The 27,883-nt window shown below is 37.5% G+C and overlaps 1 protein-coding gene across 3 annotated transcripts in view; it reads right to left on the reverse strand.

Annotated features, from left to right (window-relative positions):
- Positions 1-13,703: 13,703 nt before the first annotated feature.
- SLC38A4 (solute carrier family 38 member 4) overlaps positions 13,704-27,883 on the reverse strand; it is a 67,671-nt gene continuing 53,491 nt past the window's right edge. For all 3 annotated transcript variants that reach the window (XM_005268997.3, NM_001143824.2, NM_018018.5), the window contains 7 exons: positions 27,444-27,719; positions 27,232-27,311; positions 25,847-25,947; positions 23,992-24,116; positions 18,227-18,371; positions 17,253-17,350; positions 13,704-15,745 (listed from right to left, as the gene is read on the reverse strand). In XM_005268997.3, coding sequence (XP_005269054.1) covers positions 15,644-15,745; positions 17,253-17,350; positions 18,227-18,371; positions 23,992-24,116; positions 25,847-25,947; positions 27,232-27,311; positions 27,444-27,719 — 927 coding nt within the window. In that variant the 3' untranslated portion in view covers positions 13,704-15,643. The remainder of the gene's footprint in view (positions 15,746-17,252; positions 17,351-18,226; positions 18,372-23,991; positions 24,117-25,846; positions 25,948-27,231; positions 27,312-27,443; positions 27,720-27,883) is intronic.

A 27,883-nucleotide genomic window follows, 5' to 3' on the forward strand; every position in this document is an offset into this window, starting at 1 on the left:
AGGGAAAATGGTATACTCAATTCCCATTACTCACAATAAAAACAGTTACAGTTCAAAAACCAAATGAAAAGAAGGAAGGAAAGAAGGAAGGAAGGAAGGAAGGGATTGGTTCACTTTCCCGGGAAGGAGGGAAGGAAGGAAAGAAGGAAGGAAGGAAGGAAGGAAGGAAGGAAGGAAGGAAGGAAGGAAGGAAGGAAGGAAGGAAAGGAGGGAGGGAGGGAGGGAGGGAGGGAGGGAGGGAAGTGATTGGTTCAGTTTCCCAGGAAGTAACCTCTGGTTGAGAGTGGGCCCCACAGCACTTCTATGCTTATCTACACCTTACATTGCTTATCTTGTTACTCTTTAGTGCTATTAAGTAATGATCTGTGTGTGCTTTGTATTCCCTGAGTAGATGGCAATCTCTTCAAAGTAAAGCTCTGTGCTCTCCATTTATTCCACAATTCCTTCTCCAACTCAATTGTGACCATGATTAACTTTGTTCACTCAAAACATTCAATTACATGCTTGCTGAATAATAGGGGAAAATATTGTGTTATTTCCACTCAGATTTGGGAGGTAAAAGCCAAGGTAATATGGTAGAAGAAGAATTTGCTACATGTAAGAGTTTTGTATGGCAGAATTGGCATTTTCAAGTCAGAGAAAAAACAACTGATTACCTATGAGGAAAAAAAGTATGCTCAATCTTGATACCATATTCAAAAATAAATTACAGATAAAGTCCTAAATTTTTTTTAAAGTTTAAAACAATGTATTTATTTCCTTGGGCTTGGAAGAAAAATTAAAGTAGAAAAATGATGAATTAGACCACACCAAAATAAAAAGCTACTGTATGAAAAAAAGACATTTTAAAAGATGCTAAAAATCCAGGGACAGGCTTTAAGAAAGTATTTGTCATATATGACAGGCAATTATTATCCAGGATATATAAAAGTATGAATAGGTAAGAAACATTCTAGTTGGTCAGAATGTAAAATTGTGCAGGCACTATGAAAAACAGTGTGAAGTTTCCTTAAAAAATTAAAAATAGAATTACCATATGACTCAGCAATCCCACTTCTGCATATACATCCAAAAGTATTGAAAATAAGATCTCAAAGACATATTTGCACACCCATGTCCATTGTAATATTATTCACAATAGCCAAGAGGTAGAAGTAACCTAAATGTGCACAGATGAGTTAATGGATAAAGAAAATGTGGTATATACATACATATAATGGAATGTTATTCAGCCTTATAAAAGGACATCCTGTCATATGCTACAACATGGATAAACCTTGAGGACATTATGCAAAGTGCAATAGGCCAGTCACAAAAATGATAAACCTTGAGGACATTATGGAAAGTGAAATAGGCCAGTCACAAAAAGACAAACACTGCATGATTCTATTTATATAAGGTATGAAAAGTAACCAAATTCATAGAAGCAAAAAGTAGAATGGTGGTTGCCAGGGGCTGGAGATAGAAGAAAGAAAGGGGGAATTGTTCAATGGGTATAGAGTTTCAGCTTTGCAAGATGAAAAAGTTCTGGAGATCTGTTGCACAATAAGGTGCTTATGGTTAACACTACTGTACACATAAAAAGTGGTTAAGATGGTAATCTTTATACTATGTGGTTTTTTCCCACAATTAATAATCAGAGCTTTAAATCTCAGTTTGAGAGAAGTTTTCTATGTAAATACTCCAGGAAGAAGATAACATTTGGCTTATATTCAGTCGTAGATATAAATGCGTGATATAAGACCTTATTCTAATAGCAGGTTTTCATAGCAGGAAGAATGGCTGAGAGCTTGAAACTTTGGGGCTTCTGAAGGGGCAAGTGGGTGCAAGAGTGATCCAAATGTGTAAGCAAATGCTGTTGCCGGTGCAGTAGGTCAGCAATGTCTGTAATGGTGAGGAGGGCACATTTAGGCATTCACCAATATGTTTGATTGGTAGATCATGTTCCTACAAAATTTTCCAAGGAATGAAGGAATGTTTGGAAAATGATTTTTTTTTTTTGAGTCAGGGTCTTTCTCTGTCACCCAGGCTGGAGTGCAGTGCACTATCATAGCTCACTGCAGCCTCCAATTCCAGGGCTCAAGCAATACTCCAGCCTCATTCAACCTCCTGAGTAGCTGGGACTATTGGCATGCACCACAATGCCTGGCTAATTTTTCTTTATTTTTAGTAGAGACGAGGTCTTGCTATGTTAACCCAAGCTGATCTCAAACCCCTGAGCTCAAGTGATCTGCCCACCTAGGCCTTCCAAAGTGCTGGGATTACAGGCATAAGCCACCATGCCTGACCTTGACATGCTTTTTTTTTATTTTTTAAATATCTCTAGTCACCTAATTTGCTGAAAGCTAAATTTAAAAAAACTCTGCGTTGCATGATAATACTTAATTCTGTGCTAAGTGCGTTTCCCATTGCAGAGTAGTACCACCATACTTAGTATTAAGGAGATTATAACATATCAAAATTTTAAATGAACTAAGAAAGCATGAAAATTATGGAATACTAATGCCATCTTTTGATGGAAGAACCTGGAAACAAAAACAGGACACTCAAATCAATTTTTCTTAAACTATAACTTTATTTGGGCAAGAGAATTTTCCCTAAATAAAGCTATCATTTTTAAACACCTTAGGACAAACTATTTTTTCAAATAAAATTTTATGTCAGAATAGTCTTGTGTAAGTGGTTTTCTATTCTCCCATCTTCTCATTATTACGAATATTTGCTTTATTGATATATATATCTCAGTTACTCCCTGTGACTAAACTGCTCTCTCTGCTTGAAATCAGAAGACTTATTTTAGGTAATTTAAAATTTATATTAGCACAGTGTCTATACCAAATTGGTAATGCAGATTTATGTAAAAAAAGAGGAAAAGAAACATTCTAACAGAAAAAATGGTCAAAGAATATAAACAAGCACTTTCAATGATTAAACAGTGGCTGTAAATATATTGCTAAATATGTAATCAGCTTTATGCAAATTAAAACAATGAGATACTGTATCTAGCCATCATAAAGGCAAATATTAAATAATAATAATATTGAGGAGTTATAAAATTGTGTGAAAATAACAACTCTTATATACTGCTGGTAAACGAATAAATTGATGCATTTATTTTTTTAGAATAATTTGGCAGTTTCTATTAAGTTAAAGATGTGCATGCTATATGATCCAGCTGGAGAAACACTTGCATATGCATATGTGGAGATGTGTCATGATCTGCATAACTCCATGTAGTATTTTTGTAATAATAAAAAAATTATGAATAATGAATGATCATTACTTGAGGAATAGTTAAATAAAATGTGATAAATTTATACACTAGAATTACAGTAGTTAAAGCAATAAATTACACCTGTATACTATAAATGGACTTAAATCTCCAAAAATTACTACTGAATAAGAAAAAGAAAGTTATAAAATAGATACAGTATATAAATTTATGTTATAAAATATCATAAAACAGAAACCAGTCTTTTGCAGCAATGTAAATGGAACTGGAGGTCATTATCCTCAGTGAAATAACCCAGAAACAAAGTCAAATACCATATGGTCTCACTTATAAGTGGGAAATAAACAATAGGTACACGTGGACATACAGAGTGGGATAACAGACATTGAAGACTACAAAACGTGGGAGGAGAGTGAGGACTGAAAAATTACCTATTGGGTACAATGTTCCCTCTTCAGATGATGGGTACACTAAAAGTCCAGAGTTCATCATGATGCAATATATGCATGTCAGAAATCTGCACTTGGACCTCCTAAATATATACAAATGAAAAATTTTAAAGTAAACACGACATAAAACAATTGTATTTTTAATCTATGATATGAACATATAAAAAGAGGTCTGGAAGGATGCACAGCAAACTCTTAGTAGTGGCTTTCCCAGAAAGTGTGAAAGGGAAGCAGCCTCTTAAATGCCCAGAACTGACCCAGGGCCACTTTGAATACATTCTATTGGTCAAAGCAAGTTAAGGTCAGTCCAGCTGCAAGGTGACTTCCCCTCTTCATGGGAGGAGCAGAAGGTGTGGCATGCACCTGCTGTGGGGTGGTGGAATTGATGGCAACCATTTTTGGAAATTGGTGAGACTGTAAACTAGTTCAACCATTGTGGAAGTCAGTGTGGCGATTCCTCAGGGATCTAGAACTAGAAATACCATTTGACCCAGCCATCCCATTACTGGGTATATACCCAAAGGAGTATAAATCATGCTGCTATAAAGACACATGCACACGTATGTTTATTGCGGCACTATTCACAATAGCAAAGACTTGGAACCAACCCAAATGTCCAACAATGATAGACTGGATTAAGAAAATGTGGCACATATACACCATGGAATACTATGCAGCCATAAAAAATGATGAGTTCTTGTCCTTTGTAGGGACATGGATGAAATTGGAAATCATCATTCTCAGTAAATTATCGCAAGAACAAAAAACCAAACACCGCATATTCTCACTCGTAGGTGGGAATTGAACAATGAGATCACACGGACACAGGAAGGGGAACATCACACTCTGGGGACTGTTGTGGGGTGGTGGGAGAGGGGAGGGATAGCATTGGGAGATATACCTAATGCTAAATGACGAGTTAGTGGGTGCAGCGCACCAACATGGCACATGTATACATATGTAACAAACCTGCACAATGTGCACATGTACCCTAAAACTTAAAGTATAATAATAATAAAAAAAGGAAATTGTCTACTATATTTTCCTTCCCCCATTTTAGGCAATTGGCATCCTCCAGCTCTTGGCTCCTTTGCTTCCCTCTGTATCTCCCATCAAAGTTTGCTTTAAAGAAAGATTTTGTAGGAATGCTTTACTTGAATTGTGGATTTAAAACAAGACATGTCACTCCTAACAGACATTTACATTTGATATCTCTCTCTGATCATGGAAATAAATGCTCTATCGCTCTTTAAGGCAAGTTCAGGCGTCAGCAAGTGGGGGAAGAGCTTCTTGGAGTCTTGCTGTTAAGTCTCATCTCATCATTTTCTAAGTGCTTCACCTCCTCCACCTTCTTAAAAGCTGGCTGGAGATAAAAGGGTAATGTCACCCTGGAAGGACTGAGCTCTTAATTCACAGATGTTGCTCCAGAGCTTGGGTCTCAGCTTCTGATGACTTGTTCATTGTTACCTGGAACAGAACTGTCCTGTAACCACATTCCCATGGCTTTATGATCCACAATTAGGAGATTGACTATGTCAGATACCAAATAGAAGGAGAGAGACAATAAGAATTCATTTAGTAATCTATCCAAATATATTTGTTGAGATCCATGTAGCTGAGAGCTATGCAAAGTACTGGGTGTACCAGTAGAAAACAAGATAGGCAGCATCTGTCCTCACAGAGCTTATGGTCTGGTGGGCTATACAGACAAGGAGAAAATATGGGTAATACATGTTAGGTATAAATAAAAAGAAATTATGAGGTGCTATGGGAAGACTATGCGGAGTCTAATTAGTGGTATGCTTGGTCTAATTACTGGCTCTACCAAAAAAAAAATTAAAAAAGGAAAAAAAAAGAAAAAAGCTCCTGATTTATAGTGTTTGTCAATTTCCATGGTGTAAAGATTCCCACCAATTTCAAGCAGCAACATGACATCACTGAATGGAGCTACAAAAAAATGAACAGTACTTTTTTCTTATCGACAGGGGCTGTATTCCAAGACCCCCAATGGATGCCTGAAACCATGGCTAGTACTAAACCCCATGAACACTATGTTTTTTTCTATACATACCTATGGTAAAATTTAATTTATAAATTAGGCATAGTAAGTGGTTAACATCTTTTAATATAATAGAACAATTATAATAATATACTGTAATAAAGTTACATAAATGTGGACTTTCTCTCTCTCAAAATATATTATTGCATGTAATATTTTCAGACTGTGGTTGACCGTGGGTAACTGAAACTATGGAAAGTGGAACCATAGATCAGCAGGAACTATTGTACAAGCCAACAACAGGGCCCTATCGGATCTAAGCCATTTAAGGTAGGAGAATGGAGATGTCAGGAAGGCTTTCTGGAGGAAGGGCCATCTAAGATGAGAACTGAAGGATGAGAAAGAATGAGTCAGATGAAGACAGTCACAGAGAAATATTCCATGTGTAGACAACAGCATGTGTCAAGGCCTGAAAGGCGAGAAAGGACCTTTCACACCTGGAGAATGACCAATCAATGTGGATCAAGGGCATGGTGCTGAGTGATATGTGTGTGTGAAGGTAGATGGGGAGGGGTGTGTGTACATGGGCTTTGTATGTAGTGTGGTGTGTATATATGCATGAAATTGTGTGTACGTGTGTATAGTATGTTATCTGTGTATGGTGTGTGTGTTTATGCACATGTGCATGTAGTACAATGAGAGTGTGTGTGTGTGTGCATGCATGCTGGTGTCTTATTCAACTCCAGCTGCCATAACAAAATACTATACACTGGGTGGATTGAACAGCAGATATTTATTTCTCACAGTTCTAGAGGGTAGGAAGTCTGAGATCAAGGGAGCAGTGGATTTGGTGTTTGGTGAGAGCCTCTTCCTGGCATGCAGTTGACTACCTTCTCACTGTCTTCACATGGCAGAGTGAGAGCTATGGTCTCTTTCTCTTCTTATAAGTACACTATTCTCATTACAGGAGCCCTACTCTCATGACCTCCTCCAAACCTAATTATCTTCCAAAAGCCCTGCTTTCAAATACCATCACTGTTATGGTTTGGCTGTGTCCCCACCCAAATCTCATCTTGAATTGTAGCTCCCATAATTCCCTCATGTTGTGGGAGGGAGCCAGTGGGAGATAATCAAATCACGGTGGGGTGGTTTCTTCCATACTTTTCTCATGGTAGTGAATAAGTCTCATGAGATCTTATGGTTTTATGATGAAAAACCCTTTTTATTTGGTTTTCATTCTTCTCTTGTGGGCCACCATGTGAGACGTGACTTTTACCTTCTGCCACGATTGTGAGGCCTCCCCAGCTATGTGGAACTGTGAATCGATTAAACCTCTTTCTTTTGTAAATTGCTCAATCTTGGGTATGTCTTTATTAGCAGTGTGAAAATAAATTAATACAATAAATCAGTACCAGTAGAGTGGGGCACTGCTGAAAAGATACCCAAAAATATGCAAGCAACTTTGGAACTGGGTAACAGAGGTTGAAACTCTTTGGAGGGCTCAGAAGAAGACAAGAAAATGTGGAAAAGTTTGGAACTTCCTAGAGATTTGTTGAGTGGCTTCGACCAAAATACTGATAACGATATGAACAATGAAATCCAGGCAGAGGTGGTCTCAGATGGAGGTGAGGAATTTGGGAACTGGAGCAAAGGTGACTCTTGTTATGTTTTAGCAAAGAGACTGGTGGCATTTTGCTCCTGCCCTAGAGATTTGTGGAACTTTGAACTTGAGAGAGATGATTTAGGGTTTCTGGCAGAAAAAATTTCTAAGCAGCAAAGCATTCAAGAGGTGACTTGGGTGCTGTTAAAGGCATTCAGTTTTAAAAGGGAAACAGAGCATAAAAATTTGGAAAATTTGGAGCCTGGCAATGCAATAGAAAAGAAAATCCCATTTTCTGAGGAGAAATTCAAGCCAGCTGCAGAAATTTGCATAAGTAATGAGGAGCCTAATGTTAATCCCTAAGACAATGGGGAAAATGTCTCCAGGGCATGTCAGAGACTTTGCAGCAGCCCCTCCCATCACAGGCCCAGAGGCCTAGAAGGTAAAAATGGTTTCATGGGCCAGGTCCAGTGTCCCTCTTCTGTGTGCAGTCTAGGGTCTTAGTGCCCTGTGTCCCAGCTGCTCCAGACATGACTAAAAGAGGCCAGGTACAGCTCAGGCCGTGGTTTCAGAGGGTATAAGCTCCAAGCTTTGGCAGCTTCCATGTGGTGTTTAGTCTACAGGTGTACAAGAGTCAAGAACTGAGGTTTGGGAACTTCCGCCTAGATTTCAGAGGATGTATGGAAATGCCTGGATGTCCAGGCAGAAGTTTGCTGCAGGGGCAGGGCACTCATGGAGAACCTCTGCTAGGGCAGTCCAGAAGGAGAATGTTGGGTGGGTGCCCCCACACAGAGTCCCCACTGGGGCACTGCCGAGTGGAGCTGTAAGAAGAGGGTCACCATCCTCCAGAACCCAGAATGGTAGATGCACCAACAACTTTCACAGTTCATCTGGAAAAGCCACAGACACTTAACACCAGCCCATGAAAGCAACTGGGAGGGAGGCTGTACCCTGCAAAGCCACAGGGATGGAGCTGTCCAAGACCATGGGAACTCACCTCTTGCATCAGCATGACCCAGATATGAGACATGGAGTCAAAGGAGATCATTTTGGAACCTTAATATTTGACTGCCCCCCTGGATTTTGGACATGCATGGGTGTAACCCCATTGTTTTGGCCAATTTCTCCCAGTTGGAATGGCTGTGTTTACCCAATACCTGTAACCCCATTGTATCTAGGAAATACCTAACTTTCTTTTGATTTTACAGGCTTATAGGTGGAAGAGACCTGCCCTGTCTTGGGATTGCACACTTTTGAGTTAATGCTGAAATGAGTTAGGACTTTGTGGGACTGTTGGGAAGGCATGATTGGTTTTTAAATGTGAGGTTATGAGATTTGGGAGGGGTTGGGGCAGAATGGTATGGTTTGGCTGTGTCCCTATCCAAATCTCATTTTGAATTTTATCTCCCATAATTCCCTCATGTTGTGGAAGGGACCCAGTGGAGATAATTGAATCATGGGGGTGGTTTCCTCCACACTGTTCTCATGACAGTGAATAAGTCTCATGAGATCTGATGGTTTTTTAAGGGGAAACCAATTTCACTTGGTTTTCATTCTTCTCTTGTCTGCCACCATGTGAGAGGTGACCTTCACCTTCCACCATGACTGTGAGACCTCCCAAGCCATGTGAAACTGTGAGTCCACTAAACCTCTTCCTTTTGTAAATTGCCCAGTCCCTGGTATGTCTTTATTAGTAGTGTGAAAAAGGACTAATACAATCACATCGTTGGTTAGTGCTTCCACATATGAATTTGGGGGAAACACAAATATTCAGTCCATAGTAGTCTATGTATCACTGGTAAGAGAAACACGGGGCTGGAATGTGAAGAGTTGTATAAACCAGTAGGTCATATCTGGACCCCCTGCTTTAACGCAAGATTCTGCCCAATCTGTGGGGCAATCTGTCTTTCAGGGAGTTTTTTTTTTTTTTTTCTTGAGACAGAGTCTTGCTGTATCACCCAGGGTGGAGTGCAGTGGCACAATGTTAGTTCACTGCAACCTCACCTCCCGGATTCAAGTGATTCTCATGCCTCAGCCTCCTGAGTAGCTGGAATTAAAGGTGCACCACCACCCCTGGCTAATTTTTGTATTTTTAGTAGAGGCAGGGTTTCGCCATGTTGGCCAGGCTGGTCTCAAACTCCGGACCTCAGATGATCTGCCTGTCTCAGCCTCCCAAAGTTCTTGGATTACAGGCTAGAGCCTGTAATCCTGCACCTGGCCAAGGTGATATTTTAAAATATCATAGGAACCCAGCTGTTTTACAACTCTTGATAAATTTCCCACTAGCTGCAGCCTCCTTTTTTGACCCAGAGAGTCTCTTGGGATCATCCAGTTCAGTTCCTTGGTGTTTTCTGATGGTAGAGATTGGATGGAGGGAAGGGCTTTCCCAGGATCACCTGGTAGGAGGTGGTGACTAGCACTCAGACTTCCAGAGCCTCAATTCCTGGTTTTTCTTTTTCTTTTTTTCTTTTCTTCTTTCTTTTTTTTTTTTTTTTTTTTGAGACAGAATCTCGCTCTGTCACCCAGGCTGGAGTGCAGTGGTGCGATCTCGGCTCACTGCAACCTCCACCTCCAGATTCAAGTGATTCTCCTGCCTCAGCCTCCGGAGTAGCTGGGACTACAGGTGTGTGCCAGCATGCCTGGCTAATTTTTTGTATTTTTAGTAGAGACGGAGTTTCACTGTGTTAGCCATCTCCTGACCTCATGATCTGTGTGCCTTGGCCTCCCAAAGTGCTGGGATTACAGGCATGAGCCACCGCGCTCAGCCAGTCCATGACTTTTCTACTCTCCCATCAGTAGAGCTGGAGTCAGTAGTAAAATAATATAATTTAGTCAACCCTTGATTCTAAACAACTAGCCAAAATAATGACAAAGCTCCACTAAACAATACTTTGTTTTATCACATTTTAAAATAGAAAATGATCCATGTGATGAGTACTTTTCATTGGCAAATAATCATTTGGTAAAATAATCCAATTTCATTTTTTCCTTTTTCTGCACAGCAAGATGAGGAATTCTATTATCTTAGCAGCAGCTTTACCCTTTCATCAACCCATCAGCATAGTTTCTTGCTATAGGAACTTAGATTATTGGCTTGAGACTTCTCCTCATTTCTTTTTTTTTTTTTTTTTTTGGAGACAGAGTCTTGCTCTGTTGCCCAGGCTGGAGTGCAGTGGCGTGATCTCGGCTCACAGCAAGCTCCACCTCCCGTGCTCAAGCCATTCTCCTGCCTCAGCCTCCTGAGTAGCTGGAACTTCAGGTGCCCACCACCACGCTTGGCTAATTTTTTGTATTTTTAGTAGAGATGGAGTTTCACCGTGTTAGCCAGGATGGTATTGATCTCCCGACCTCGTGATCCACCCACCTCAGCCTCCCAAGGTGCTGGGATTGCAGGCGTGAGCCACTGCGCCCTGTCAACTTTTCCTCATTTCTAATACAAGCATTTAGTGCTATAAATTTTCCTCCTAGCACTGCATTGAATGCATCCTCCATATTTTAATATGTGACTTTAAAATTTTCATTCAGCTCTATGTATTTTAAAATGTCATTTGATACTTCTTTTTTGACCCATGGGTAATATTGAAGTGTGTTGTTTAATTTTCATTTATTTAGAGATTTTGTTATTGCCTGTTATTGATTTTTAATTGATTCCATTATGGTCAGAAAATATACTCTATATTATTTCAGGTTTTTAAATTTGTAAGGTTTGTTTTATGTCCCAGAATATGATCTATCATGGGAATATGAAAAAACTGTGTTTTCCACTGTTGCTGGCAGACTGTTCTATATATATATCAATTAGAACTTGGTTGATTGTGTTGTTTATATCTTCTATATCTTTGCTAATTTTCTATCTAGTAGTTCTATTAGTTTCTGAAACGTGGGTGTTGATGTCCTCAACTAAATGCAGATGTATCTACTTCTCCTTTCTACTCTATCAGTTTTTGCTTCATGTGTTTTGAAGCCTGTTGCTTGGTGTGTGCACACTTAGGCTTATCTCTTCCTGATTAATTGACCCTTTATTCTTATGTTCATGATAGGAACAATGGACACCTCTTGTCTGTAGTAATTTTATTTTCTCTAAAGCCTGTTTTACCATATATTAATATAGATACTCCTTCTTTATATTATTAATTTTTGTATGTATATCTATTTCCATCCTTTTATTTTCAACCAACTATGTCATTGAACTAGAAGTAAATTTCTTATAAGTGGCATATAGTTGGGTCATGGTTTTTATTCACTCTCCAATCTCTGTTGATGGGTATATTCAAACCACTAGCTTATAAGGTAATTATTGATATATTAGTGCTTAGGCCAACCATTTTATTATTTGTTTTCTTTGGTTCTTGTTCCTGCTTTGCTTTTCTTGGTTTCTGGTGGGTTACTTAAATATTTAAATACTTAAATAAATTCATCTTAATTGATTTATAGTGTTGTTGAATGTATATCTGTGTATAGTTTTTATAGTGGTTGTTTTGTATATTACATTAGACATACGTGACTTATTGCAGTCTATTGGTATCATTTAACCACCTTGAATGAAGTGTAGACACATTACTTCTATTTAGGTCCCTTACCTTCCCCATTAAAAAAAAATCTTTGTCTTGAGTATCAGTGTTTTTTTCAATCAAAAATGTATTTATAAAACTCATTAAAAACAGAAAAGTCTTATATATGTCCCATATTTCTTATCTTTCCTTCATTTCTTCTTCTTTCCTGATACTCCAACATTTCTCCTTTTATCATTTACTTTGTGTTTGAAGAACTTCCTTTAGTCAATCTTTAAGGGCAGGTGTGCAACAAATTACAGGTTTAGGATTTAAGTTTGGAGGATAGGAGTTGTATTAGTTTATTCTCATATTGCTATAAAGAAATACCAGAGACTGGATAATTTATAAAGAAAAGAGGTTTAATTGGTTAATGGTTCTGCAGGCTGTGCAGGAATTATGATGCTGGCATCTGCTTGGCTTCTGGGGAGGCCTCAGGAAACTCACAATCATAGTGGAAGGTGAAGAGGGAGCTGGCACTTCACAAGGCCAGAGCAGAAGGAAAAGAGAAGTGGGAAATGCCACACACTTTTAAACAACTAGATTTTGAGATCACTCATTCACTTTCACTATGACAGTACCAAAAGGGATGGTGTTAAACCAAAACCACCCCCATGATCCAATCACCTCCCACCAGGCCCCACTTCCAACATTAGAGATTACAATTCTACATGAGATTTGGTGGGGACACAGATCCATACCATGTCAAGAGGCTTCTGAGGCTTCTTTTTAAAATTTCTGTCATTTTTTTCTTGGTATAGTTTTTGCCTTGTGGCTAGTTTTAATGTATGCTGATCTAGTTTGCCTTTATAAAGATGTTTAATTTAAAATAAGTTTTTCCAAGTACTATTTTTGTTTTTTTGTTTTTTTTTTTTGCATCTTGGTTAGATGATCCAGTCCTACCTATATGGGCCCAGGACATCAAAACATTTAATTTTGACTATACCACTCTGATTAATTTTATCTCATTAAGACATAAATTGCAAAACTTTGAGCTATGGTGACCTGGCCCCAGAAAGATGTAATTAAGACACCTTTAGGAAAATAAGCAACCATACCATAGACTGGGAAAATATATTGGCAATCTGGACATGGATCCATATTTAAAGAGCTTCTACAAATACCCAATAAAAACACATAACCTAAATTTTAAAAATGGGCAAAAGATTTGAATACACACTTCACAAAAGAAGATATATGAGTGACCATTAAACACTTGAAAAGTTTTCAACATTAGTTGTCACAGAAGCAGAAATGAAAATCACAATGAGTTACCATTTCAGACCCACTAGAAAGGCTAAAATGCAAAAGACAACACCAAATGTTGGCAGGGCTGTGGAGTCAGTGGAAGTTGTAGGTAGTACGGGTGGAAATGAAAATGGTAGAAACACTGTGGAAAACTATGTGGAAGTTTCTTATAAAGTTAAGCATATACTTACCCTGTGATCCGTCAATCCCCCTAATCGTTCATTCATAATCAATCCTTAGCACTCACATGTTTTCCCTGCCCCCATATTTTCTCTGCTCTTTATTTTACTATTCTCAGGTTTCTTCTATTCTCTCATTTTCTATCTTCAATGGATTCTTTCAAACTAACCATAAAAGACTCATTTCTTCCACATTCATTCTAGGTGGTATATATGTGATGCCAAAATTATAATCATCATAATAATTTAGGATTAAATATCTATTTTGCCAAAATAAGATGGCAATTATTTTCAGGATGATGGCTATAGATGTTAGTTATGTGTCAAAGGTAACAATGAAAATGGAACATAAACCAATATAAGAAAGACAGTATTTGGATTTTAAATTTTGTTTCATGGACAAATAACACAACATTCTTTAACAATAGATCAAAAATCACATCATAGTCATTTGAAAAGTTCATTTATTATATACCAATATACACTTTCTGTAATAAAAAAGAAGCCTCCCAATACATTGAGCCATCTTATAAATGAAATAAGAAAATAAAATTTTCATCTGTTTACAAATGGGGTTAAATTAATCAGCACAAGCTATCATATGTATGTCTGCCCTGCAGTATATATGAATTTTAATCCTGGTTATGAAGAAAAAAATGGTGCTTTATTATTTGGCACTATAGGATGCTCTTGAACATTCAGAAGATACCTTTTTCCACTTTTTATTTTTGTATACTTTTTAGATGAGTGAAAATGTAAATATATCCTAAAGATGCTATTTGGCAGATTTTTTTCAAATAATAGTAGCTCAAAAGTACGTGTATGATACTTGTACTTCATAATTGGCTTTACTAAAATATAAAATACACAAGTGATCTTACTATGATTTGAAAAAAAGGTAGTGAACTCCAGAAGTTTTAGGCTGTGAGTAGGAATTTTTAAATCCATTTTATGTAAGTTTGTTATAGAAGTGAGCAAGAATGATCGTGTGCATTTCTTCGTAGTGTTAGCACTTATACTTTTACAGAGAACCACTCAACACTGTATTAAATGGCCAATGAATGTCAGCAAACACCTGTGTGAGCTAAACTGAACTAAATCCTATTTTAGATATGCTAAATTAAAAGAACAACTTTAGTATGATAAAAATTTGCAAAAAGAAACTTATTTTCTTGTAGATCATCCTATTATTGTAAATATTGAAGAAGAGCATTGCCAAACTATATATAACTTAGGTTTCAAATTTAAATTATCCCCAGACATTTGTAGACAGATACATATGAATGGATTTTCGAGCCCACCAACTTAATTCCCTGCCCCCACCCCCAATAATATAAATGCTTTGACTGTGAAGAAAGAAAACTACACATGTAAAAAATAAAAATCAAATGTACCTTACATTAACATTCTGATGACTACAGAATAAGATTATATACATAAACATATAGCAAATCACAGTTTCCTGCACTGAATGTTTATCAAATAAAAATGTATCAAACAATACTGGGTAGTGTATCTCCACGATTGTGGTCTTCTAAAAATTCTGAATGAGGATGGAAGACGAGAGGGAGAGCATTGTTCAATGACAAAAGTATGACAAGAGGATTTAGGAATAACATGAAAAAGCAGATGCTTTCTAGAACAGGCAGTTTAGCTATAAGCATTATTTTTGTTGTTGCTCTATGATTGAAATAAAGCCCCTCTCTATATTTAGTGTTTTAACATTTAAATATAGATGTTTTAACATTTACAAAAATCTATTGAATATAGAAGTCACAACTCAATGTCACAAACAGGGTGGGCAAAATATTATTTTGCTGTTGACAATAAGATGCTCTAGACTGGTGTTTGACCATTCATGTACCTTACAGAAACAGAAACAGTTCCTAAGACATGCCTTTTGCCTCTGTTAGTAAACAGACCAGAGACTTTGGTGCAAGACTGAGAGAAGACATTAAATGGTGATAGCTTTGCCACCAGGGCATTTTTGTTTGATGTTCTGAGAATGCAAATGTTTGGTACTTTTTTAGGGGGTGCAGGATGAGGAGACGGCAGGGGAAAGAGTACTATCTGATGATTGTTACATGCAGTTACCCTTATTCTGCTCGTAAAGCAGCAAAAATACACCTTCATCATCTCACACTGCTCTAGCAAAACCTGGGTAGAAATGTGCACCACAGGTTTTATTTTAAACACATACACAACCATCCTTGACAAAAACAGTGATTTTCCTCTTCTGCAGGTGCCTGGTGATATTACTGGTAAACGTCTTTGGAATCTTCCTGTTATTTCCTATGAATAACATTCCAATCAAGATAATTCAAATATCTTTTGGAGTATAACTTGTAACCATTTCCAATAGAAAAAGAAAGTATTTTTCCTTGTGTTAGTGATGCTTGGAATTTGGAGGATCATAAATCCAGTCAATTATAATGAGTGCCATGCTTCCAATCATGAAGAATATTCCAACCACAAGGAAAATTAAAGCCTGTAATTCAGAGAGACTCTGTTAGGAGCACAGAAACCATACTTAGTACAATTTGTTTTTTAGTTGTTTACATAATATGGCAATCTGATCTATATATTGAGCCATATTATTCTTAATATCTCAGATGCCCAGGCCTAACCTATCAGTCAATTTAGAATCCTAGTTGAAGAAAGAAGAGGAATACAGTGGAGAGATACAACCTACAGGTTCAACAATGGAGTAATAGTTAATTGATTTAGTACACCAAGATGATGGAATACCCTGTGATTATTAAAAATCAAGGGACAGAAAAAGATTCAATAATCTAGAGAATGCTTACAATCTTTTAGGTGAAAAAGAGCAGGTTAAAAAAGAATAGCATATATGATATGATTCTAATTTTATAAAGCAAACAAAACCAAAAGCTTAATAGATGTTGCAACAAAAAGTGTATATATGTGTGTGTGTGTGTGTGCATACATATAATATACACACACATATATAAGGATATATGTACATACCTACATATAAAATACTTCAGCATTTTAACACCAGAAGAGGCCTTACATTTTATCACATACTTAAACCTCCTAATCCTACATATAAGAAAGCAGCAACTAAACATTTTTCACTAGAATGGGTCTAGGAGATAATTGTACTCATTTCACAATTGGTCAAACTGAAAATAGGTCACAAACAGGACAAGTAATTTGCCAAGGTCACACTGCTGTAAAAATCCAAGCAAGACGGACTACATAGAGTTAAAATTTGGGAGCAAGCTGCTGGGTGGACCTTTTGATACCAAATTATCCTGAAGTCCCCAGAACATCCCAAAGGTAAATGACTTCAAGGTAAAAATTCAGAGTAATTCAGTAAGAAATATTCTTTTCAAGCCTTAACATGACTTTATTAAGGAGTGAAAGATAATATTTCCTTATTGGAAAAACAATTATTTCTAGCATTTGTTTCTATAGTAGTCTTATGGAAAAGAAATATGTACTCTCTAATTTAATAAGACTGTATTTTGTATCTAAAGAGGTTAACAGAACGATGAATGGTTCTGTTCTGGATCTTAGTCCACACCAGGGACAACAGGTACTATGGAAGGGAAAACAAAAGCAACATCTTTCCTTTGGCTTTGCAAACCTAACAACCATGACCAAAATATTTAAATTATTCCATAACACCGCTAGGGAGCCTAATTCCTTCTTGCATGATTTTCCACGGATAGCACAACAGCAGCTTGGTATTGGACACTGCTATTTGCCTGAAGCATATGTGTCTGTGGGAAAGGCTACTACTATTTGACATGTATGACAGACTCAACACAGGATATTTGATATTTGAAGTAGAATCATTTGAGTTTCAGAAATATGTCCCCTTTCTCTGCTACCAGAAAGTTCTAGCCCAGTTTTGATTTTTGGTTCTTGTACATTGATTCATTTTTCTGAACTATGTGTATTTTCTAGTTTATTCTAAGTAGTTGGAAGAACAACTAATAATGGGGGAAATTGCAAGGTTTACTTACCCCGACCTTTTGGGGTGACCTAAAAGTTTCTTTCTTGACAAGTTTAAGATAAAAAACTGCTGGAAGAATAAAAATCAGCATAGTGGCAGAAGAAGCCCCTGAGAAGACAAACACAGGGCAAGGTCAATGTCTTACCCAGCAGTTCCTAGCAAAGGAGATGCCAGCACACACTTTAAATAAACCAAATATAAAGCTATCCTATACTTAGCACTAAAAACACACACTTAAGTCACATAAGCTCATCTTGGTTATTTATTCATAGAAGATATGTTTATAGAGACAATTAAAATGTACCTAACATCAAAGCTGCATAAGTATATGCAACATATAATAAGCAACAAAAGGCTGAATTTAACACAAATTTACAGGGGATTAGTAATATAAATACATACTAAGGTGGCTGAACTCATGACACACCCTATCCACCTCTTACTTTGCAAGTGACCTACCCATGGTTCTTTTAAAGTTTTAGATTGTGTTTAAAGTTTAAGTAAACCCTCAATGAGTAGAATGAAAATTAATAGACCATGCAGTTATGGGGAAATACTAATAATACACTTTATATAATCAACCTCCTATTCCTCTGAAGATACCTTTCAATGTTCAGCTGATACTCGTAGTATCAGAGAGCTTCTGGCAGGTAAAATCTATCTTCCTCTTTTCCTGATGGTGGAGCTAATACCTAAGTCCAAATCCTGGGTCCACACCAAGGTATATGACTTGACTTTTATAGGGGTCAGTTTCCTCATCTATCAGAAAAAGCAGCTTGACTAAATGACCTATAAGGTGGCTCCCAATGTCAGTTAGGAGGAAGAGACAGTGAGCAGCTCAATCACCAGAGCCTCTCAGGGATAAAGGGAATCCATGAGCCTGAGAAAGAACGGGGATCTGGATGACCCAGCACTGGTTCCCTGTCCATCATTTAATGAGGCGTGAGTTTGGGTTGACCAAATTGAAGCCTTTCTGAAACTCACCTATGAATCCGAAGATGTATTTTATAGTTGGCACAAGGATGACCAGAACATTATTAAGTGCAATAAGCACAGCTGCAATCAGGAAATGTCGTATCCAGCTGAAGGGTCGTTTGGGAAATAACAGTGTGATCACTGATGTACGAATCTTAAACAAGAAAGTTCAAAGGCAAGATCATTTCTTTGTTTTTGACTTTATCTATTACTTCAAATATTCTCATCACTCTAATGCATTTTCTTTCCTTTTCTTTTTTCCCAGAAAAGATGTTGATGCTTTTTTCAATTTTTTTATTATTATAAAACATACATAACATAGAATTTACCATCTTAACCATTTTTAAGTGTACAGTTCAGTGGTATTAAGCATAGTCATTTCGGTCAACAACAGACCACATATAAGACAGTGATACCCTAAGGTTGTAATACTGTATTTTTACAGTAGCTTTTCTACGTTTGGAGACACAAATACTTACCATTATGTTACAGGTACCTCCACTATTCAGTACAGTAACATGCTGTACAGGTTTGTAGCCTAGGAGTACTAGGCTATGCCATATAGCCTTAGTGTATAGTAGGCTCCACCAATTAGGCTGCAAGTACAATCTATGGTGTTTGCACAATGACAAAATTGCCTAAAGATGCATTTCTCAGAATATGTCCACATTTGTAAGCAACACATGACTGTACATTCATCTTGTGCAGTCTTGATGCTAACTTTTGATATTTGAAATGGAGTGTCATTTTTTCCTTGGCCTATTTTATAAGACAATATTTTATGCTTTCACTTTCTTAGTTTTCAGAATTTATTGTTAAAAATAATCTCGGTCAGAAAGAGATAACAGGCAAGACACATAATTAAGAAACATAGTAAAACCCTTGTTGATCACAAAACATGTCTCATCAGACTGGATGAGACATTAAGGGCAAGCACTGAATTGATTTACACAAGATTGTGAAAGGAATTTTTATGAATCTAGGTTTTCCTTAATTTTGCATGGTATTTAACATTTTAAAATAAAATTTTAAAATGGTATTTTAAAATTTTGACGTTTTTGTGTTTGCTCCTTCCTCTTTCTCTCCTTTTTAGCTCTCCCTATCAATAGATTGTAAATCTATGAAAGGCAAGGAACAGGACCTAATAATCTAAACATTCCTCAGACTTTCTAGCTTAGTGTTGTGCACACAGCAGGCACTGAATAAAAGCTTAAATTAAATTGAATAGTAGGAATCTTATCCTTCCCTTCAGGATCCTTGACAGATTTCAGCCCTATTTTAGCAGCTGAAATAAGTAGGCGAAGGGTCAAGAGAGCCTCAGTTTGCAGCAGCTGCTCAAGTTACGCTGCTGTAACTGGATAAAGATCCCTGTGGGCAGAGGGAGGGAGTGACATTTGTGTTTGTACAGCTTGACAAAGTTGAAAACACTCTTATCTTTGGAATCTTTTAGAGGACACTTTTTGGACTTAGTGGAATTACTCTATCAGCTTTCCAATAAGTGAATACTTCGGTTAAGCTAGGAGTTCACATTTTTGGAAATGCTGTGATTGATGTTCACTTTAAAATTTTAGTTCTGAAGTCACTTAAGGTGCAGAGATGGGAACTCATTTAAAAGAGAGAAAATGTAAAATATATTTTGAAACATGTATGAATGACAAAAAATTCAAGCTAAATAGCTTGCAGTTTCTCATGTGACATTCCTTTCATACCACTCCACCAAAAATTAAGGCCATCTGTTTAGGCTGAAAAGGCAATTTCATTTCTAGAATGACAAACCAGATAGTCTCTGGAAATAGTTTAAGAATAACTTTGTAAAGGATTTTAAAAATTGGATTAGTGAACATTATGAAACTCATTCTGAAAAGGAAACTGAGGAAAGCAAATGGTGTGATATTGTTTTCCTCAGCAGCCTATAATTCTACATTATGATCTGCAATTAGTGCTTATTCAATATTGTCAAAACTGGTCCAATTAGTAGGCTTACGAATAAGCTTTTTATGGTATATACATAGTGCCAGAGGACTTAATTTGTTTCACAGTGTTAAACAGAATAAATAAGTATGAGATATAGGCTCATTTTCAGAGAATAGTCACAGTTTGTTTTTTAGTCACTTGTTAAAAAGGTGCATTCAAGTCAATAAGCTGAGTTAGAGTGAGTTAGAGGCAGTCCTATATGTCCAGGGCCTCTGAATGTGAAAGCAGTCTCCTGGCTCCCAGAAAGATTAACATTTGGCCTAATGATATGAGATCACAGAAAGTTTATGGCAATAATAGGTAGAACGGTTGGAGTAAATGCAAAAGCTTCTTCCTCTTTCTGAATAAGGAATAGGAAAATTCCAAACAGAACTGAAGGTGGTTTCCAGTGCATTCCTGAAGAGAGCAACAGAGCAAAGAGGGAGGGAGGTACTAGGCTTGTGGTGGTGGTGGAAAAGATCAGGAAGGAAACTTGCTGGTCATTCCATGTTAAAGTGCCTCCCTGAGTAGTGAGCCTAGGACCAAAAGCCCCCAGCAGTTCTGTTTACCTTTGCTAGGGCAGACCACTGGCTGATTCCCACCAAGCCTCATCTGCTCTTCCACTTAGCTATGTGCCTTTTTCTTTACTGACACAAGTCGCTAGGAACCTGGAAATGTGGGTCAGATGCTGTGGGTCAGGGAGGTCCCCAGCACCATCCAGGGCCTCTGACCCACAATGATTCCATTAAGGTTCTATGCAGCTCTAGAGACAACATCTGTTATTTCCAGAGAAAGAGTCCTGAACAGGAGCCTGTTAGGGGGTGCTGTATTCTGATGCAGGGGCCCAATGTGAAGGTCAAAAATGTGGAGGCACAGGAGGAAGTGAGAGTCTTAGTTCTAACTCTTAAAAAAAAAAAAAAAGCCTCTCCCATTGTTTAGACGTAGCTCACACTTTGATTTTGCAGGTTTGCTTAAGGCAAGGATGTTGGAAAACCTACGAATCACTGCTCCACTGCAGTTGATAGCAATATACGCTGCATTTCTATGTTGATATCTATATACACTTCAAAACAGGAGATCTGAAGGCAACATAAGTGAAAAGACTGATTTTAATTATAAGATGAAATACAAGTAGCTAGGGATCTTTTTTCAAAGGCATGGCAGGTGAAATTTTCATCTGTGTGTTCATTATATATCCATTAGGATTATTTGGTTTCTTGTTCTTTATGGAAATATGGAAACTTTACTGCATAAAGGGAAGCATAAGCTGAAAATGACATGATCAGTCCTCTGGAAGGAGGTGCCATTCCATAACTGATACCCCACCCACTACTAAGAGAGAAAGAAATGTTGGGCTGCTAGTGAAAACACTACCTTAATTCATTTCATTTATTCACTTGTTCAACAAATACTACAAGCAGTTACTATGCACCTTTTACTAAAAAGGAAAAAACTAACCTGATTGGAAAAAAGAAAGATAATAAATGAAGTAGAGAAAAACAAACCCCAGTCATATCTTCTCAAGCTCCTAAGAAAGAGAGCCCAGTTACCATGTTGAAAGAAGGAGAACACAAAATAATGCCTAAAGCTGATAGATTTTAATTCAGATTAGGTTTTGTTAGTTTTATTATTAATGTGTGGAGATATCAAGGCAAGTAAATAAACTTACTGGTGAAGAGTTCCTTAAATGAAATAAACTGTCAGGAGAACCATGCTGTGAGTCAGCATTTGACACATTGAAAATCTGAGCCCTAAGTTATACGAAATAAACAAGCAAAAGCGCCAATAACAACTTTTATCATTTTAGTAAAGAAAAAAAATTGAATTTAGCTTCAGAGGACTTGATTGAGATCCACTCACGGAAGTGACCACTCTCTGTCACCTTCTCTGTGTATCCTTCATGTATAGGGAGGTTTGGTTCATTTAGCCCAGATCCTCAACCCAGCTGAATTCGTAGCACATGTCACCAAGGGAAAGAGTGTCTATGCTTTTGCTAGAAAAGGCAGTTTATACATTTCAAGACAAAGCAAGATTCATTTGAAGACCATTTTTCTTCCCAAGCACGACGGAGCTCACCCTCTGTGCCAGTCACTGTGCACATCACCAAGTCCCAGGGACTTATGACTCTGTGGGGCAGTGGAGCACTTACACAGATTATATAAATGTAACATTGCAAGGGTGAGGACAGGATAATGTGCAAAATGTTTCATAAATGCTAATGTTGAGTGGAAATACATAATGAAGGACAGCAGTTAGTCATTTTTCTGAACTCTGGTTCTTATGGTCAATTTTGGTTCTAATGGCATCTAATGTTTACACACTATTGCTGTTCCTGATGGTCAGATTTATATCAGTGCTTTATTTCTCACATAGGGTAAGAATTTCTAAGGGGAGATTTGGATTTTCCATGCTGAGGTGAAATGTTCATCAGTAAATGACTTTTACTTCCCATGACAATAATTGCAGCCCTCAGTGTTGGGCTATGAGCTGCACTAGTTGAACTGTTACCAGCTGTCTGTGTGACGATGGCCAATTCTGGCAATCCCTTAAAACCATGGCTTGAAAACACTATATGAATATGAATAAAGCAATACAGAAGCACATCACAGATTTCTTATGCTTTGATTCTACAATGATGTGAATGCTTACACTGTGCCAAAATTTAGTGAGTGATTTTTTTACACATAAAAAGAAGGGCTCCAGATATCCTTTTCTCAGTGAAGTTGTTTGCCTGGCAATTTTACCCTATCGTATACCTTCTGTTTATAGTTGTCTTCTGTCTTGTACCCAAGACGGAGCTGATTTTAGGCTAAAGCTATGTGTATGTCATCTGAAATACTTTCAGATATATTAGAGGCAAGACATGATTTAAGAGTAAAATATTAGCCACCATAGTAGTACGGATCTGATTTCATGCACTCATGAAAAAGGAATGTGCCAAAATATATTTCAGCACACAAGCTGCATTTAAAGTGACCACAGTGTCATTATAGAAATAGTCTTCATATGCAAGCCCTGTATGGAACATTATGTCCAGGACAGTGCTGGTTACTGTGTCACTTATTTTTTTCCCCCTCAAATGAATGAGTAAATTCAGTGTTTATGAAACAGGAGCTGGCAGGAGGGTGAAGACCTGTGTTTATCCTTAGGTGGTGGTTTTAACTCACACAGCCCAAATCTTCACTACCAGCTCTGCTCTGGGATCTCAGAACAAACTGACACCAATGACAAATGCCAGGGAGGGGTGACCTGGTGTGAGTCTGGCAGAGGCCATGTGTGAGAGAGATATGTGATAGATAGCATAACTGTTTTTTGAAAAATTTTTTTCTGGTATATAATTTACTTAACATGAATCCCCTTTTCATTAGCCTTCAAGGCATCAGGTTAAAAAAGGCAACTTTTGTATATTATTGCAGCACAACAAACTGGAAAAAAAATGAAATGCCTTCAAAACTGTGATGAAATTTAATAAGATTTGAAAGTTAATATGGTTTTGGCTTTCAAGGTTCCAAAGTTATATGAACTCCTACTCAGTTTTACTAATCCACAAGACAGAAGCTCCAGCTCCACTTTTCAACTTTGAGTTTAAAAATAAGTTTTATGATTTTTTTCCTACACTATAAAAATACCACCTGAAACTACTTGCTCTATCTACACATTAAATGGCCAATTTTAAGTGACTCAAAATGCTATAGGAAAATAATATCCTCAGGCATTGCAATTGCAAACTCACCCTATAATTAAATCAAAATGAAGGTAGAACACATGTACTAATTTATGGGGTCAAGTAGGTTTCTTTCATCAAAGTCTTATGTACTTACTGGGAAGAGGACAATGGGCACAGTTAGTGTTACTGCCACAAGGACTGCCAGGCGAACCATGAGAAGAGGGATGTCTAATGTATACACTTTGCTGTAGGCATGAAGTAATTCATCTTCAACTTCTCCTACAACAGGAAAAAGAGAATGAAACCGCTTGGTGTTGTCAAATCAGCACAGGTCACTTATGGCAACATTTTATAGAGAGAACACAGAACAGAGGAAAAGACCTAGGCCTGGGAATCCAGGCACCTCTGGTCTTGCCTCTGAGCTCATTAGCTATGCAACCTTCATTCAAATGAACAAAGAGGTCCTGAAGCTGATAACGTTGCAGAAGGTATAATACAAAATAAAGAGCCTCTCAAGCTCATTTACATTGTGATAAATCTATCTCCGCTGTACAGAAGCAATTACAAATCAGACAGAGACCAAGGTGCTCTTGTTGAAGGGGATGAGAGACCCAAGCCCCACATATTGTCTCTCCCAGCCTACCACCTCCCCTGTCCCTACCTGCGCAGCCACTCCTGATGCAGGTTACAAACCCAGTGTGTAAACTCTAGGATGAATGATTGCTACCATTTTTTCAAGCTCAACAACTATGACTCCATCACCACACTAAAACAGATATTTTTGGGCTCTTTCAAGTTTTTGCTTGTCTTATGAAACTCATTAAAATAAGTATAAGTAACATGCAGGGATAAATTAGTATAATTTTTAGATGGTCTCCCAGTGGGTACTACTCTAAGACGAAGATGCAGCCCTACTTGAAAACACCTTCATTCAGGACTCCAAGCACAAATAACAAGAAAATATCTATGGAATCAAGCGTAGTTGGATTTTCACCTCAAGATCAGACAAAAAGGAGTGAAAATACCTTCAGTAGTATTGACCTCGTCATTCATTATTTCACAACCGGCAAAAAGTTAATGCCCAATCTAAAGCACATGTTTGGTTAATAGTCAAATATTAGTCAAATAGAAAAAAAACCTAAGCAAATGGTGGCCTACTCCTGAATCTTTTCCTCCACAATTTGTCATACATGCAATTCAATTTACCAAGTCAGTAAGAAAAAAATTAAGTTAAAAACTTTAAAAGGAGGTTTATACAAAAATATATTTATATTGATACACTGATTCATGTAAACATATGCTACCAGGTCAATATGTGATTCCATGAAATCTGTTTATGTGGCCACACTTCATGGAAGGAGTACAATCCTACTCCCTTTGTGAACTGTTAAGATGCCAGAGAGGAAATGTTGCAGGCATAATCTAATGTGGCCATAGTCACTTTTTTTTGGTGGTGCATTCTTAGATTGAAGGAAATTCTGTCATGTCCTCTTTCTTAGGAAATCATTTAGTATAACAAAATAGAATGGGATATGTCAGAAATTTTACCTAAAGTCCCAAGCTCCCAGATTTGACTTGACTGGTAAAGAGGAGGCAAATTCAAACTTGAGGACCTGGCAGTTTCCCTGCTATTTGTGTGGCAGGTAATAATTCCATCAAAGGAGCTTTATCACATGCAAGTGGATTCATTCTCATCACTTGTAGCCTGAGTTGGACTATGGAGTCTAGCCAGAGAAATATCATCTATCCCTAGAGGAAAATAATTTTGTTTGAGGGATATTTTTTATAAAATAGGTGTTAATTCACAAATTCTTGTAACTTGTTAGCCAGGCTGAATCAGGCCCCATTTCCTCAGGTCAAGTGACAAAACTAAAATAGTATATTAATTGAATATGTGTCATCTATAGAGCATGCTTATAGAAGGCAATTTTTAAAAATCATACCTACCCAGGTCAAGGACCAGCCTAACAAGGATTTGCATATAGAGAATGACTTTCAGAGTGACCTACCATAGAAGGTTAGGTAACCAAAGAGGGCGGCAAGCAGGTACATGACAAGCATCCCCGTGATGGAAATATTTGACACCGTTTGCATTTTTCTCCGGGACCGACTGGAAAAAGAAAGAACACCAAGCTTTGTTTTTTAAACTTACAAAAAAAAATCACTTTTCAAAATGAAAATAATAATAAAAAAGTATATCTATATTGCTCATCATGAAGACATATTTAGTACATAAACTTATAGCTGATTTAAATTTGTCTTAGAGAGCTAATGAGGATTCATTTCCATTTTTCTTAAACACTAGTCCTTCAGTCTTAAAAACAATCATTTCCCTAGAAGAGGAACAGTCTATTTCACGTAGGTCAGTAAGCTTGCCCACTGAATAAGAATATAATTAACATAAAGATCAAACAGGCTCCTAACATAGAAAGCTTTTGCATTTCATAATGAGATGACTTTAGATGAGGAAAAGAACCTAGTAGAGTCAGCAAAGTACTACTGCCAGGAGTCCAGACTACCTGAAAAGCTTCTGAAAACCATTCTAGAAGGAACCTGGCTGCCAAAGATCAATTGTCAGGCTTCTGGAGTAACTGCTACATGTAATTTTCAAAGTAAATCAAAGACATCAAAATACTTGAAAGTGTTCTGAAATTTTTTATGAGGTAAATCAGAATTTATGGGGAAAGTTTTGCTATTTAGTGAGAATGAAGACTGAGGTTACTGATGTCTAGATTAAAGAAGTTGAGAATTATTATATAATACCCTCCCTTAAAGGAAAGAGGAAAACAGCTATAATGAGTTCATATCCTTTGTTCCCAAGCAAATATCAACAACTTCAAAGGGAAAAGAATACAAATGAACCATAGACCATCAGCTGGAAGAAACAAGATTTTCTAGCCAGTGACTCTATTGTACAAATAAGACAACAAAGGACAGATATTGACACATCTCTTGTAATGAATGTGTTCTAGACAAGGGTTAGGTGCTGACTATAAATGACATCACTGGCTTATCGAGGCTGCCCCTAACCATAAGTTTTGGTCGTCATGGGTGTTTTCATTTCTAGTCCAGCTGACATCGTTTCTTCCGAACAAAATTCAAATTTAAATTCCCAACACCTGCCAAAATTATTACAACCATCGACTCCTTGTCCACCTGCCATGAACCCCTCCCCTGAACCATTATGGTGGAGAGAAAGGAGAGAAAGAAGATAAGGTAGTGCTGTGGTGGGCTGATTCCCACCTTTCTGATTAAAGCATGTTACTGAGGAGTGGATGGAGTACATATTTTCTCTGAAGAGGAAGCTATAAACTGTGTTTCCTGTTAAAGAATCTTTGAACATATGAGCAGAATTTCAAAGCAAATTAGAATGCTAAAATGATGGCTGCCTTACTCTTTAAGTTCACTGTAGATGGGAAGGACCTCAGGGTGGCATACAAAAGCAAATACTAGGATAGGAATTGCATAGGCCGTCTGAAAAACAAAGACAACACCACGTGTTTAGCATTCCAACATAGATGGTGATCTCAGGCCATCTCAGTTTATTGAATAAAAACTTAGAAAACACATAACTGTACTCATTAGAAGCCCGGACCGCTCACTTACCCGGGAGTTGAATACAAAGTATTTGGGTTCACACTTGTCATCACTATGAGCTTCATATTCTACTCCACTGTCATGAAGAGAGCCCTTGGCCTGGTTCTCATCCAGCCCTGCAGGATTGCGGTGGGTGTAATCCATCATGAAGTTCACATCAGAACTCTCAGAGTTGTTGGGTAACATTACCACATGCATTGGAAGCGTGTTGTTGAATGACAGATTTCCAACACTGTGATCCAAAACAGGTAGAGGGCAGGGTATTTGGAATTTCTTGTAAATCACCTAGACTCAGTCATTAAAAAAGAAAAAAAAATCAGCTTTTTGAGAAAAAACAATGAAATAAGAATCCATATGTGTGGCTTATAGGGTGGGGGGTGAGGGAACTCAGTTAGGGATTCCTTTTAGACTAATGGACAAAGTAAACTTCCTCTAGCCTCTGTTCTAAG

This window comes from Homo sapiens, chromosome 12, assembly GCF_000001405.40.
Source record: "Homo sapiens chromosome 12, GRCh38.p14 Primary Assembly".
Taxonomy (NCBI): Eukaryota; Metazoa; Chordata; class Mammalia; order Primates; family Hominidae; genus Homo; species Homo sapiens.